Here is a 14,894-nt window from a genome sequence, read left to right on the forward strand (position 1 = left end):
ATAGCAGAATTTCTGGAGTTGTGACCTAAGCAATAGTATGGTTTAAAGCTCTCCTAGTGATTCTAATGTGGTTGAGAACAACTTTCCTAAATAATGTGTAACTTCATTATTAAAATATCACTTTCAAAAAGTAAAATCATGACTCTTATGCAAATATAAAACATATATGCCAAATTTATTCAGTTCATCAATAAGTGAGCCAGTAATATGGCAAAACCACCCTCAAAGAGCGTTTCAGGAGCTAAATATTTACAAGCAATGGGTCGGGCACAGTGGCTCATGCCTGTAATCCCAGCACTTTAGGAGGCCCAGGCGGGCAGATAATGAGGTCAGGAGATCGAGACCATCCTGGCTAACACAGTGAAACCCCGTCTCTACTAAAAATACAAAAAATTAGCCGGGCATGGTAGCGGGTGCCTATAGTCCCAGCTACTTGGGAGGCTGAGGCAGGAGAATGGCGTGAACCTGGGAGGTGGAGCTTGCAGTGAGCCGAGATTGTACCACTGCACTCCAGCCTGGGCGACAGAGTGAGACTCCTTCTAAAAATATATATATATATATACACACATATATATATGCAATATTAGCTTAAGGTGGTTGTTTTGATACAAAACTAGTTAATGTCACTCTCCAAAGCAAGCCACAGATTCACTGCAATTCCTATCAAAATCCCAATGGTAGTTTTTGAAGAAATGAAAAAGGTCAATGGGATTGCAGTGGACCCTGAATTGTGATTGATATGGAATTACAAGGGGCTCCGAATAGGCAAAATCATCTTTAAAAAGCAGAACAAAGTTGCAGGACTCAAACTTGCTGATTCAAAATCTTACTATAAAACTACAGTAATCAGAACAGTACGGGACTGGCATAAGTATAGACATATATATCAAGAGAATTGAATAGAAAGTCCAGAAATAAACCCATTCATCCATAGTCAATTGATTTTTTACAAGTATGCCAAGACCATTTAATGAGGCAAGAACAGTCTTTTCAACAAATGGTGCTGGGACAATTGATTATCCACATGCAAAATGAAGTTGAACCCTTCTTATCACATACCATATACAAACACCTCAAAATGGATCAAAGACCTAAATGTAAAAACTAAAACTATAAAACTATAAAACTTAGAAGAAATCATAGGAGTACATCTTCATGACTTGGATTTGACAGTGGTTTCTTAGATATAACACCAAAAGCAAAAGCAACAAAATTAAAAAACAGATAAATTTGACTTAATCAAGTGTGAGAAGACAACCAACAGAATGGGGGAAAATATTTGTGGATCATAGATCCGATAATGGTTTAATATCCAGAATATACAAAGAATTCCTACAATTCAACAACAAAAAGACAAACAACCCAATTTTAAAATGACAAAGGACTTAAACATTTCTCCAACAAAGACATACAAATGGCCAAGAAGCACATAAAAAGATGCTCAATGTCATTAGTCATTAGAGAAAAGCAAATTACAACCACAGTGAGATAATACTGCACACCGACAAAGTTGGTCATAACCAAAAAAAAAGGAGGTGAAAGAGTAAGTATTGGCAAAGACGTAAAGAAATTGAAATCTCCATACATACATTGCTGGTTAGAATGTACAATGGTATAGTTGCTATGGAAAACGGTTTGGTGCGTCCTCAAAAAATTAAGCATTGACTACAGGACCAGCAATTCCACTCCTAGGTAAATACCCAAAAGAATTGAAAACAGGCATTCAAACATATACTTGAATGCTCATAGTATCACTGTTCACAATAGCCAAAAGGTAGAAATAACCTAAATGTCCATCAACAGATGAATGCATCAACACAATGTAGTATACACATAGAGTGGAATATTATTCAGCCCTAAAAATGAATAAAGTACTGATACATACTACAGCCAACACAAAGGAGCCTTAAAAACATTATGCTAGATGAAAGAAGCCAGATACAAAAGGTCACATATTATATGATTCTATTTATATAAACCATCTAGAATAAGCAAATCCATAGAGACAGAAATCAGATTAGTGGTTTCCAAGGTCCAAGTGGATGGTGGGATAGGGAGTGACTGCTTAATGGGTATAGGATTTCAGGATTTCCTTTTAGAGTGATGAAGATATTTTAGAACTAGATACAGGTGGTGGTCAAACACATCGCAAAAATGATGAAAATGTTTCAGAACTAGATACAGGTGGTGGTCAAACACATGGCAAAAATGATGTAAATGTTTCAGAACTAGATACAGGTGGTGGTCAAACAACATCACGAAAATATGAAATGCCACTAAATTGTATACTTTAAAATAGTCCATGAGGCCAGACACAGTGGCTCACACCTATAATCCTAGCACTTTGAGAGGCAGAGGTGGGAGGATTGCTTAGGCCCAGGAGTTCGAGACCCGCCTGGCAACATAGGAAGCCCCTGAATCCACAAAAAAAAAAAAATTTTTTTTTCAGACAGGGTCTCGCTCTGTCGCCCAGGCTGGAATGCAGCGGTGAGATCTCAGCTCACTGCAAGCTCCACCTCCCAGGTTCACACCATTCTCCTGCGTCAGCCTCCTGAGTAGCTGGGACTACAGGTGCCCGCCACCATGGCTGGCTAATTTTTTTGTATTTTTAGTAGAGACGGGGTTTCACCATGTTAGCCAGGATGGTCTTGATCTCCTAACCTCGTGATCCGCCCACCTCGGCCTCCCAAAGTGCTGCCATTACAGATGTCAGCCACTGCGCCCAGCCAAAAAAAAATTTTTTTTTAATTAGCCAGGCATGGTAGTGAGCACCTGTGGTCCCAGCTACTCAGGAGGCTAAGGTGAGAGGATTGGGAGGTCAGGGCTGCAGTAATGATTGCACCACTGCACCCCAGCCTGGGGGACAGAGCAAGACTCTGTCTCTAAATTAATTAATAAATTAAATTTTCAAATAAAATGGTTAATGATTAATTTATGTTATATTAATTTTACCCCATTTTTAAAAAGAACTGGTTAATGTCCAATGAGGCCATAATTTGTAACCCTTGGAGTTATGTGTTCCACCTGATAGAAACTAATTTCATCTGGCTAAACCCTTTCAGACAAAAAAATCTACAAGTTTACCTTTGCCCCTATGAGTTGCGAAATAGCCCTGACAAAAGAAAGTTAACCCAGCACTGTACTGAAAGAACAGCCAGTAACCTCTTCCCTATTTCCAAGTTTTAGGTATTTTTTTCTGACATCATATAGAGTCCAAATTACCAGTTCAGATTTCACTCTTACTGAGGGTTACTTTCACCATTGAAGTGAGCTCCCTTTTGTTTTTTTTTTTTAAAAGTCAGTTGGTCTTATTCAGGGCTATCTCAGTCCATTAGAAATGTACTTAAACTAGAAAGGGAATGTATTGGGATCTAGATTTCTTTATTCCCTGAAGATTTCTGGGAATGTATGCAAATTTTCCCACCTTTTCCTGGCAATCAACAAGCCTTCTGTGTGTGGATCTATCTACTTATCCATAGCATTGTATTAGTCTGTTCTCACACTGCTGATAAAGACATACCTGAGATTGGGTAATTTATACATGAAAAGGGGTTTAATGGACTTACAGTTCCATGTGGCTGGGGAAGCCTCACAATCATGCTGGAAGCCAATGAGGAGCAAGTCACATCCTATGTGGATGGCGGCAGGCAAAGAGAGAGAGCTTGCACAGGGAAACTCCCATTTTTTAAAACCATCAGATCTCGTGAGAGTTATTCACCACATGAGAAAAGCATGGGAAAGACCCACCCCCATGATTCAGTTATCTCCTACCAGGTCCCTCCCACATGTGGGAATTATGAGAGCTACAAGTGAGATTTGGGTGGGGACACAGAGCCAAACCATATCAAGCATGTATTTTTGTATGCAACAATGAGTAAGAAATAAGTATCATTCACTCTGCCTGCAGAGCTGGATTCTCAGCCTTTTACAAGCAAAACCAAACAGAAAATTCTACAAAACTATTTCACCAAAATATTGGGGAAGAACAGTGTAAAGAAACAAGAGAGAGGCCAGGTGCGGTGGCTCACGCCTGTAATCCCAGCACTTTGGGAGGCCAAGGAGGGCGGATTACCTGAGGTCAGGAGTTCAAGACCAGCCTGGCCAGCATGGTGAAACCCCATCTCTACTAAAAATACAAAAATTGACCAGATGTGGCGGTGCCCACCCTTAATCCCAGCTACTCAGGAGGCTGAGGCAGGAGAATCACTTGAACCCAGGAGGTAGAGATTGCAGTGAGCTGAGATCATGCCACTGCACCCCAGCCTGGGCGACAGAGTAAGACTCTGTCCCAAAAAAAAAAAAAAAAAAAAAAAAAAGCGAGAGAGAGAGATGGAGAACTCACAAGAGCATGCAGACCCTGGAGCACTTTTGTGTAGCACTTCAATTTTTTTCTTTCTTTTTTGAGACCAAGTTGCTCTGTCGCCCAGGCTGTAGTGTAGTGGCACGATCTCAGTTCACTGCAACCTCTGCCTCGCAGGTTGAAGCAATTCTCCTGCTTCAGCTTCCCAAGTAGCTATAATTACAGGCCTGTGCCACCACACCCGGCTAATTTTCTTGTATTTTTCGTAGAGACAGGGTTTCACCGTGTTAGCCAGAATGGTCTCTATCTCCTGACCTTGTGATCCGCCCACCTCAGCCTCCCAAAGTGCTGGGATTACAGGCATGAGCCACCGTGCCCGGCCAGCACTTCAATTTTTACTAAATATTTTGGGGGTAACAGAACCCTTTTAGAGTTTAAAGAAAGCTGAAGATATCTTCTGCAGGAAAACACACATAGATACATAAACGCAAAATGTCGCAGATAATTTCAAATGATTTTGTGCCTCCAGAAAGGTTTCCAGGTAAAGAATTCCTATTCTGCGTCCCCCAAAACCAGCAGAAATGGCCAGAGTAAACAGTTTAAAAATGTTCCATGGGATCTGACTAACCCACGTGTAGACAAAGTCTCCAGTCTATAGGTTTCATCTTTTTGAAAAGAACCATAGAATATATAAAATTGCTCCCTTTCTTGGTAGGTTCCTGATATAAGGAAATCAAGTTGTTAACAGAGAAGAAATTGTCAAAGAAGAAAACTTCTTCATAGACCTGCTTTTTGGACTTCTGTTATTTTAACTAATTAGCCAACCACTGTTAAAAGACATTCATTTCGGAAAACTTATTTATTTTGGTCTGCCACATTTATTTGCTTAGTGTCACTCTTATGTACATGGATTACTGGTTAATGAAGTCTAGAACAGCCATATTCAGCATGCATTTCAGTATTAGGCTGAAAATGCAATAAATTTTCTATATCAACTTCTAACTGAAATTAATCATCTTCACTTTCTTCTCAGCTTGAATACTTTTTATGGGCCTTTCTGCTCCTCCCACTCACAAACTCATTAGTTTCACCTGCTAATTTACTTTTTAATTATTTATCTCTGCCATACTGCCCCAGTAGTATTCAGTGGTTCTTAGTAAACCTTGGACTATTTCAGGAAAAAAAAAAAAAAAACTGTCGGAATGGTATTTTTTTTTATAGGAGTCTAAAGTTAAAAATAAGATTTACTTTGCATGCACCATTAAAGGTGATAAATCTTCAAGCTTCAGTTAAGAACATAACAGCATCAAATGTCAGGGAAATTCCTTCTTTATGCCACGTATTTTATAATGAAGTTTAACATAGAATTTAAGGTATTTCTTTTTAAAATGTCACAGAGTTGATGAGCAATCAACTCTTGAAAGATGAAGAAAGAGCTGTGAAACCAGGACTTGTAATTAATTGCTATGCACCAGTACCCAGTGTGGGGTTTTACATCAAACATCTCTTCTCTTTGGGCCAGGGTTCATTCTGACTGGTCAGGCCCCTTGTTCTGATTGGTTGAATGCCTGGGGTGACAACTGTATTCCTGTTTGCATGGGACTTCCCCAGTTTTAGCACTGAAAGTCTAGCCTCCCCTTTTAGTTCCAGGAAAAGTGAGACAGTTACCTCTTTCAACAAAACTCAATGTTACTAATTTAAAAACACCCCAAGTTCACATTTTGTAAATAGTTGTCTCTCTTCAGATTTGTAATACACTCCAGAAAAACATTTTTTAATATACTCAATTTAAAACACATTTAAGACCAGAATGGAAATTACATGAGTATTATGTCAGAAAAGTCTGGTAGCAGAAAGACTAATTTGCATTGGCATTTATAATAGAGAAAATTTACATATTGTGAAATTAAAAGTAAAGATTTTTTTAAAGTATATATGGAAATCTGCCTAAAATATGTTAATCTGAGAATAGTGAAGAATAGAATTGCTTCTACAGCTGAGATTTGTTATTGTTTTTATATTTGAATTGTATTTATTGGAATAAGTATATGAAGTACAAAAGTTCAAAAGAAACAAAAAGTACACATACAATGAAACGTCTCCCACATTTTCTAGACAACCACACAAACAGTTGTTATTTCTAATATTTCTGTCCAGAAATATTCTATGCAAAAAAAGTAAATAAATGGAATTTTTACAGAGTAAAATGATAATTACTAAGATGAAGTTGGAGGAGGAGACCTAACTTGGTGCCACAGCTGGAAAAGGCCTGCCCTGTGGGCTGACTGCAGAGTTGAACGGTAGGTGTTAGTCAAACTAGAAAGACCAGAAAGAACAAAGGCACGGGGTAGAGGCAGCTTGGAGCATTCAGGGAACTGTAAGCAGTTCAGAAGGGTCAGAGCTAAGGGGACAAAAACAGTGGGGACAGTGGGAGATTAATGTGGAGAGACAGGCAGGGCCAGCAAATATGCTTTCTTTCAGTATGAAAGCGCAAGTTTCGTCTTAAATTAGTGTGAACCAAAGAAAAGCAGATTAAGTCTCTACCAGGAGTCCAAAAACAAAAAAAAAAATACAGTAAAAGGCAGTTCTCTTGTTGCCAAGCCTAGTTTGGTCCAACTGCTGGATAATGTGTTAATGACACACTGTGGAGGAGGGGGAAGGTATCCACATAGAAGACAAAACTGAGTATTCTCCAAGACTGATGTCCATCTCTATTAAGTGAATCATAAGCAAGGCTCTGACAAAGGTAGATATTAGGGGAAATTATTTTAGCAAGAATGCTTACTTCCCCCTAAACTGCCTTGACAAGCTCTGAAGGTCATTAGATCACTGGGAAGTACTGCTTTTTAAAACACTCATCAGCCCTGCCTCCTGCAATCATAGTGCAGCCGATGTCATAGCTGTGAGCTTTTAGAAGGCTTTCTCTATGGCTGAAACACTATGGGAGAACCTTAAGAAACACTGTCCTCACTAGCGCATTCCCTCTGCATGTCCATGGACTTCTGGCAACTGTAAACATATTTCTGTTGCTGAGCCAATAAATAGGAACTCTTTTTCTAGAGAGAATGACTTGCACCATTGCATAGTAATTTCTAAGAAATAAAAGAAAGAAATTTCAATCAGTGCAAGACAGGAGTTCCCTTACCTGGCTCTATATTAGAATCGTCTTGAGAACTTAAAAGAGAAAAAAAAGATTCTGACCTTGACTTACCAAGTCAAAAAGAGGGATTGGTGATAAAGGAGTCATCTTTTAAAAAAAAAAATACCTCTGGGATTATTTATACTGATCAACCAGATCTGGGAGATTTCATCTGCTAATCCAGAATGGGGCAGAGTCTTCAAACAATCTTTTGTAATCATAAAACTCGTATCAAATGAGCCTGACTGCATTGAGACTGTTGAAAGGTTTCTAATGACAGGTTGTAAGACTCTTTAACTCCCTGGCAATTTGTTAGTCTCCGTAACAGAGGAAATGGCCAGTGGAGAAGAAAGTCCTTATAGAAACCCATTGGTGATGGGTCATTTAACCATATTGGTGTACCTTAATGCAGTAGATGTGTTCCAGAAAAAAGAGTGAATAAATCAAATTTTTATAAATGGAATTTTTTTTTTAAGTATATGAAGAGCCTTAGAGATTTAAAGGGTTCTTCAGGGGCCTTTTTCAAATCAGCGCTTTATTTTAAAAGTAATACATGCTCGGGGTTAAAAAAAAAATTCACACACAATAGAGAAAAAAGTAATGAGATGTAATAGTCACTTCTTCTCCTTCCAACTCCTCCCACATAATAAACTTAACCCTTACTTGTTTCCCAGCCATTTTCACTGCATATTCCTTGATGATTTTATAAAACCTGTTTGTTATTTTTTTCTCTATCAAAGCATTATAGACACCACCCGTTAGGAAATACAGAGCCCCCTCATTCTTGCAATGGCAGAATGGATGTACCATGATATGTAATATCTATGGTCTATGTAACTATTCCTCTTCTTACAGAAATTTAGGTGATTTCTTCTCTCTCTGTTTCTCTCTCTCTCTCTCTCTCTGTCACACACACACACACACACACACACACACACACACCCCATCCTGGTAAATATATCCTTAGAAATATATCTTTTTATATTTTATATATATTTATATATAATATATATTTATATATTTTTTTATATTTATATATTTATTTATATTTATATATTTTTATATTTTATATATTGTAGATATATATAATTAAATAATATATAATAATATATATGTTATTATATGTATATAGAATATATAAATAATATGTAATATATATAAATAAATATATATGTAAATATATATATAGGATAATATATAGAATACCTATAGAATAATTTCCCAGGAGTAAAATTGCTGGGTAAGAGTATGTGCATGTCAAATTTGGCAGGCATTCTCAAAGCATATTCTCCAAAAAAGTATACCAACTTCCAATCCCAACAACAGTGTGTGACATTCCCTACATTCCCACTTCCTCATCCCCTCTCTATATTATCATATGCTTCATCTTGGTCAGTCTTATCAATGAAAATGGTATCTCAGCTGAGCATGGTGGCTCATGCCTGCAATCCCAGTACTTTGGGAGGCCAAGGTGGGAGGATCGCTTAAGGCCAGGATTTTGAGACCAGCCTGGGCAACACAGGGAGACTCCTGTTTCTATAAAAATTTTAAAAATACTAGTCAGGTGTGGTGGTTCACACCTGTGGTCCTAGCCACTTGGGAGGCTGAGGTGGGAGGACGGCTTGAGCCCAGGGCGTCAAGGCTGCAGTGGGCCGTAATTACACTGCTGCACTCCAGCCTGGGTGGCAGAGCGAGACCCTGTCTCAAAAAAACAAAAAAGGAAAATGTATCTCATTCTTATTTTAACTGATACTGATTTTTCGTGGAGGCTGGGTATATTTTCCTGTTTTTTGGCCACTTGGATTCTATTGAGAATTCTTTTGCAAAGCAGAGAATCATTATTCAGAGTGATCCTTCAGCTGCCATGATTTATCCCTTTCTAAGTTTGGGTTGTCACGAATCAGCCAAAACGTCATTTCTGGTGGACAACCATGCACAGGTCACCCTGATTTCGAAAAAGCCATCATTTGGTTCTGCTCCAGTCCCATTTCTATACTTTGCTTTGCTGCCAAGAGGTTGATTCTTATTTCCTCCCCGCCCACACCTTCCTCATTTCCCTGAGTTCTGGCATCTGTCCCCAGCACTCTAACAAACATGTGTTCTGGAAGGTCACCAAGGGTCTCTTTATTGCTAAACCCCTTGACCTCTGCTCTGTCCTCATTCTCCTCCATTTGTCAGAGGCACATACAGGGCCCTACTGCTGTCTAACCTCTCTGGGCCTCAGCTACATCATGAGATACTAAGAAGAATACCCTTTCTGTCTCATATTCGTTGGGAGTTTTAAGTGAAAAATACTAAACTGCTTTGTAAACTGTAAAATCTACATAAGTACAACTTGTTATTATTGTTCATCTGGACTCCTGTGGTTCCCAGGACAGGGTTAAGCTTAGAGAAGATACTTCTTATTGATCAGCTACTGAGGTTAGTTCTTAGTTCTCCATCTCTCTTTAAAGAGATTTTTATTGAGTACCTACTGTGTGCCAAGCAGCATGAGGGGTGGAAAAAGCAGTAATCACTTTTGGGAAACCGCTATTGAGTGCTGACAATGCACCCAGACTGTGCCTAGTAGCCCACAGGGATAACGATGTTCAACCCGTATATCAAGTCTCAGAGACAAGTATTATCTTTTACATCTGTTTTTTTTGTTTGTTTTGTTTCAGAGACAGGTTCTTGCTCTGTTACCCAGGCTGAAGTACAGTGGTACTATCACAGCTCACTGCAGCCTCAAACTCCTGGGCTCTAGCAATCCTTCTGCCTCTCCCTCTTGAGTACCTGGGACTACAGGCTGTGCCAATACACCTGGCTAATTTTTTTAATTTTTTGTAGAGATGGGGTCTCACTATGTTGTCAGGCTGGTCTCAAAGTCCTGTGCTCAAGAGATCCTCCCACCTCACCCTTCCAAAGCACTGAGATTACAGGTGTGAGCCAACAAGCCCAGCCTACCTCTGTTTTAAAGATAGCAATCTGAGACCTAGAGAGTTGAAGTAATTTACCCAAAGTTACACAGCTAGTAAAGATGGAAGCTGGGATTTGAACCCAAGTCTTTATGACTGCTCTATATAATGCTCATTACATATTACAGCCACCTGCCTTACATGGCTGTAGGGAGACAAGGCTGGCTGTCCAAATCAGAACGAGATGAACTCCTTTTGAACAAATAAGTGAGACAATGTAGATGCTTGATGCGAGCCTGTAGATGTAGATGAGATAAGTAGGTATTTAATAAAGGTAGACTCTTACTAACTCCAGGATCAAGAATGTCAAGATGTGTAACTCAGCTACAAGCAGGCTCTCGGCAGGATTGACATGAGCAGCTCATAGGCCTCAGGGGCACATTGGTTTTCCAGGTGAGCACAACAGCGGGCAGTGCATGATGATTAGTCTATGCCACAACCAATTACCTATTTCCTCCTTCTGCCACAGGGGTCCGTAACCACTCCTGTTTTATTCACTGATTTTATGCCTCTTGCTGGAGGGAACAACAAGGGATCAGGTGTCATACTTCAGTCCTGAGCCAGAAGAAAGGTCCCTGCAGCCAGAGAGAGCAGTCTGCTTCCTTTGGAGAGGAACAGAAGCACTCCAGTATGTGGATCGCATTGTCTCGAAAAAGCCACCCAGAATTTGGAATTCCAAGTCATTCTGTAGATTGATCAGGTAAGTCAAAAAGACACCAAGTTCCTTGGTAAGTCAGCATTCCAGAAAATGAAAAAATTACCTACTCAGAGCTAAATGGTTCCGTCAGAAAATACACATGAACCCACAGGACACAAATCTAAGTTCTATTATGAAAATTACTACTGCTGCCATTTCTCACCCAATCTAAGACAACGTCATTTGCAAAACATGCCACTTTTCAATGTACTCCTAAGAAAAAATGCTGCCAATTAAACTGTGCCATGCCACCATTTGTAAGATGCACCCTCATTTTGGAAGAGACTAACACATGAAAAGATAGGTGTGTCGAAATTGATAAAATTGGTAATAGTAAGAACAACTAAAATGTTATTGTCTGCTACCTACTGGACAGTCTTCCAGGTGCTTTGTACACCTTATCTTATTCAATCTTAAGTACCTGTGAGGGAGGCATGACTCTCTGTCTTTCACAGATGAGGACGCAGAGGCCTAGAAACATCTGCGCCAAACACGCAAGATCACAGAAGTGTTCCTGGAATCCAGATCTGTCCATCCACGCCCAAGTGATCTCTCTGTCACCCCCCCACATAGGTTTGGGAAAGGTAAGTGTGTTCTTTGGAATGCCCAGTGGGCAATGTGGAGTCACTGAGGCTGAGTCGGAGAAGGAGCGTCGGTGGGAAAGGTGCCCAGAGCTGCCACCTGCCAAACAAACCTGGGACGTGGTGCAGAAGACGTCTGGCTCCATGAATAGTTTCACCAAGGTCATCTAACATCAAAGAACATGAGAAAAATTCCGGACAAGTTCTGGCATGTGGTTTACCAACAGGCCATTATTAATCTCAAGCAGCGAGCTGAGATAGCGGACGTGACAGCAAGCACAGTGGGTGGACAGGACTCCACTGGCCAGCCCCAACTTTACAGAATGTGGCTTAATTCTGGAATCTAGGAGAATCCATAGACCAAGGCTGGCTGGCCAAATCTGAACCAGAAGAGCACCTCTTGAGCACCTTCTCTGAGAAACCTCCAATGAATGCTCAAAAAACACTTGTTATAATCATATGCTCTTCTATCATTAAATGCCTACACTCAGGAAATGGACCCCGGCAGGAAGTCATAACAAGAAAGGGTCACAGTCTGATAAAAAAGTCAGTCCCCTAGCTGCCCCATTCCATCCAAGCCAGTTTGTCTCAGAAGAAAACACCTGGATGTTTTTACGAGGAAAAATAACTTTTTCATTAGTAAGGGACAGCAATGTCCTCTGGCAATACTCTCAATGGACATGTCTTAGGACTCACCTGAGGAATTGCGTTAAAAATATGGATATCTGCACCCTCTTCCTCCATACCCAAATCATCTAGCATTTTAATTTTTTTAAAAGTGCTTTAGGTGATTCTTCTAATTCAGGAAGTTTGGAAAACCCTACCCTGCAAGCAGTTCTTGTTTTTTTGTTTGTTTTTTGTTTGTTTTTCTTTTAGACAGAGTCTCACTCTGTTGCCAGGCTAGCATGCAGTGGTGCAATCTTGGCTCACTGCAACCTCCACCTCCTGGGTTCAAGCGATTCTCCTGCCTCAGCCTCCCGAGTAGCTGGGACTACAGGTGTGCACCACCATGCTCAGCTAATTGTGTTTTGTTTTTGTTTTTTGGTTTTTGGTTTTTTTTTTTTTTGAGACAGAGTCTAGCTCTGTCGCCCAGGCTGGAGTGCAGTGGCACGATCTCAGCTCATTGCCACCTCCACCTCCCAGGTTCAAGTGATTCTCCTGCCTCAGCTTCCCGAGTAGCTTGGGATTACAGGCTCCCGCCACCACATCCAGGTAATTTTTGTACTTTTAGTAGAGATGGGGTTTCACTGTGTTGACCAGACTGGTCTCGAACTCCTCATCTCGTGATCCACCCACCTCGGCCTCCCAAAGTGCTGGGATTACAAGCGTGAGCCACCACACCTGGCCAATTGTTGTATTTTTGGTAGAGTCGTGGTTTCACCATGTTGGCCAGGATGGTCTTGATCTCTTGACCTCGTGATCCGCCTGCCTCGGCCTCCCAAAGTGCTCGGATTACAGGTGTGAGCCACCGCCCCCGGCCACAGTTCTTGTTTTAATGGAGAGCCACTGAAATAGTTGTCACCTGGATGGGCAAATTGCTGGAGTGCAAATTAACTTCCTGAAACAAATGGATACTTGAAAGGGTCCTGGTTCTTATTCATTATTTTATCTTTAAAAAAAAAAGTCTGGCCCAGTGGTGGCTCAGGCCTGTAATCTCAGCACTTAAGGAAGCCAAGGCAGGAGAATTGCTTGAGCTCAGGAGTCCAAGACCAGCCTGGGTAGCATAGTGAGACTCCCTCTATACAAAAACTAAATAAATTAGCCAAGCATAGTGGTGCATGTCTGTAGTCCCTGCTATTAGGGAGGCTGAGGTGGGAGGATCCCTTGAGCCCGGGAGGTTGAGGCTGCAGTGAGCCATGATCGTATCACAAACAACTTCCAGTTGATTTCCTGTATCTTGATAAGAATGAGTTGCACCCTTAGTGGCTGCAGCCTAAGAAGGAAACTGAAGAACTGCAGATCAGGGACCATAATTTGGTGGCTACTGTTAAGCTTCCTGCAAGCAATAGTAGGTATGCTCTGTTATTATTACCATTTTACAGATGAGGATTCCAAAGCCCAAAGAGGTTAGGAGCTTGCTAAAGAGTCAAATGTGAGCAGGGCTATTGGGAGCTAAAGAGATAGAAAAAACTCTCAACTTGAAATTTCCATTTAAATAAATCCAATCTCAATTTGGAAATGTTATTTTAGCCCCTTTAAAAGTCGTTAAGCTTGGCAGTAAGAAAACTAAGCCCTACTCTAAAGGAAATTAGGTTCCAGCTTCTTCTGTCATTTTATTTATTTAATTTTGAGACGGAGCCTTGCTCTGTCACCCAGGCTGGAGTGCAGTGGTGTGATCTCGGCTCACTGCAACTTCTGCCTCCCGGGTTCAGGTAATTCTCCTGCCTCAGCCTCTCAAGTAGCTGGGATTACAGGTGTGTGCCGACACACCCAGCTAATTTTTGTATAGTTTTAGTAGAGACTGGGTTTCACCATGTTGACCGGGCTGGTCTCGAACTCCTGACCTCAAGTGATCTGCCCCCATCGGCCTCCCAAAGTGCTGGGATTACAGGGGTGAACCACCGCGCCTGGCCTTTCTTCTGTCATTTAAACTTAACCAAAAAGCGTTATCAAAATCCAAACATCACAGCTGTCATCTGATGAGGTTTTTTTAATTGGTCCAATGTCTTATTAATAAAGATAGAAAAATATTCATTGTGTTTCGGCCGCACCCATTTGCAGTGCCAAGTGTAAAGGGTCAACTGTACAAGAAAGGCCTTTACCTTCTACACAAATCCAAACAAAATTACTCCATCTTTATGTTAGTAAAATAATTCCTTAGATCTGTTGATTAAACTTCAGTATGCAGAAGAACTCTCTTGACAGCTTGTTTAAAATGCAGATTCCTGGACGTGAGATTAGGTCTGAGGTGAGGCCCAGAAATGTGAATTTTATTAGGTTGATGCAAAAGCAATGGCAGTTTTTGTCATTACTTTTAAGGACAAATTCGCAATTACTTTGGCACCAACTTAATAAAAAACAGCTCAGTTGCATCTCCTAATAGGGACTCATTTATCAGACTCTGAACTAATAAAACTTACATGTAACTGCTTTCTCCTCTTACTGTTATCTTCCACACCAAGGGAGCCTGTTTTTGTATTCAATGCAGAATTATCAGAAAAAGCTGGAAGAGCTCTGAATTTCCAGAAAAACAGGTGAATTTCCAGCAAAGTGAAATAACTCA

The 14,894-nt window shown here is 40.5% G+C and overlaps 1 annotated feature.

Moving 5' to 3' along the window:
• Positions 6,831-6,910: an enhancer, noted in NCBI's record as "active region_20028". NCBI's record gives its function as "activates an Ori minimal core promoter by ATAC-STARR-seq in GM12878 lymphoblastoid cells {active_cell/tissue: GM12878}" and the evidence as "EXISTENCE:reporter gene assay evidence [ECO:0000049][PMID:35858748]".

This window comes from Homo sapiens, chromosome 3 (assembly GCF_000001405.40).
Source record: "Homo sapiens chromosome 3, GRCh38.p14 Primary Assembly".
Lineage (NCBI taxonomy): Eukaryota > Metazoa > Chordata > Mammalia > Primates > Hominidae > Homo > Homo sapiens.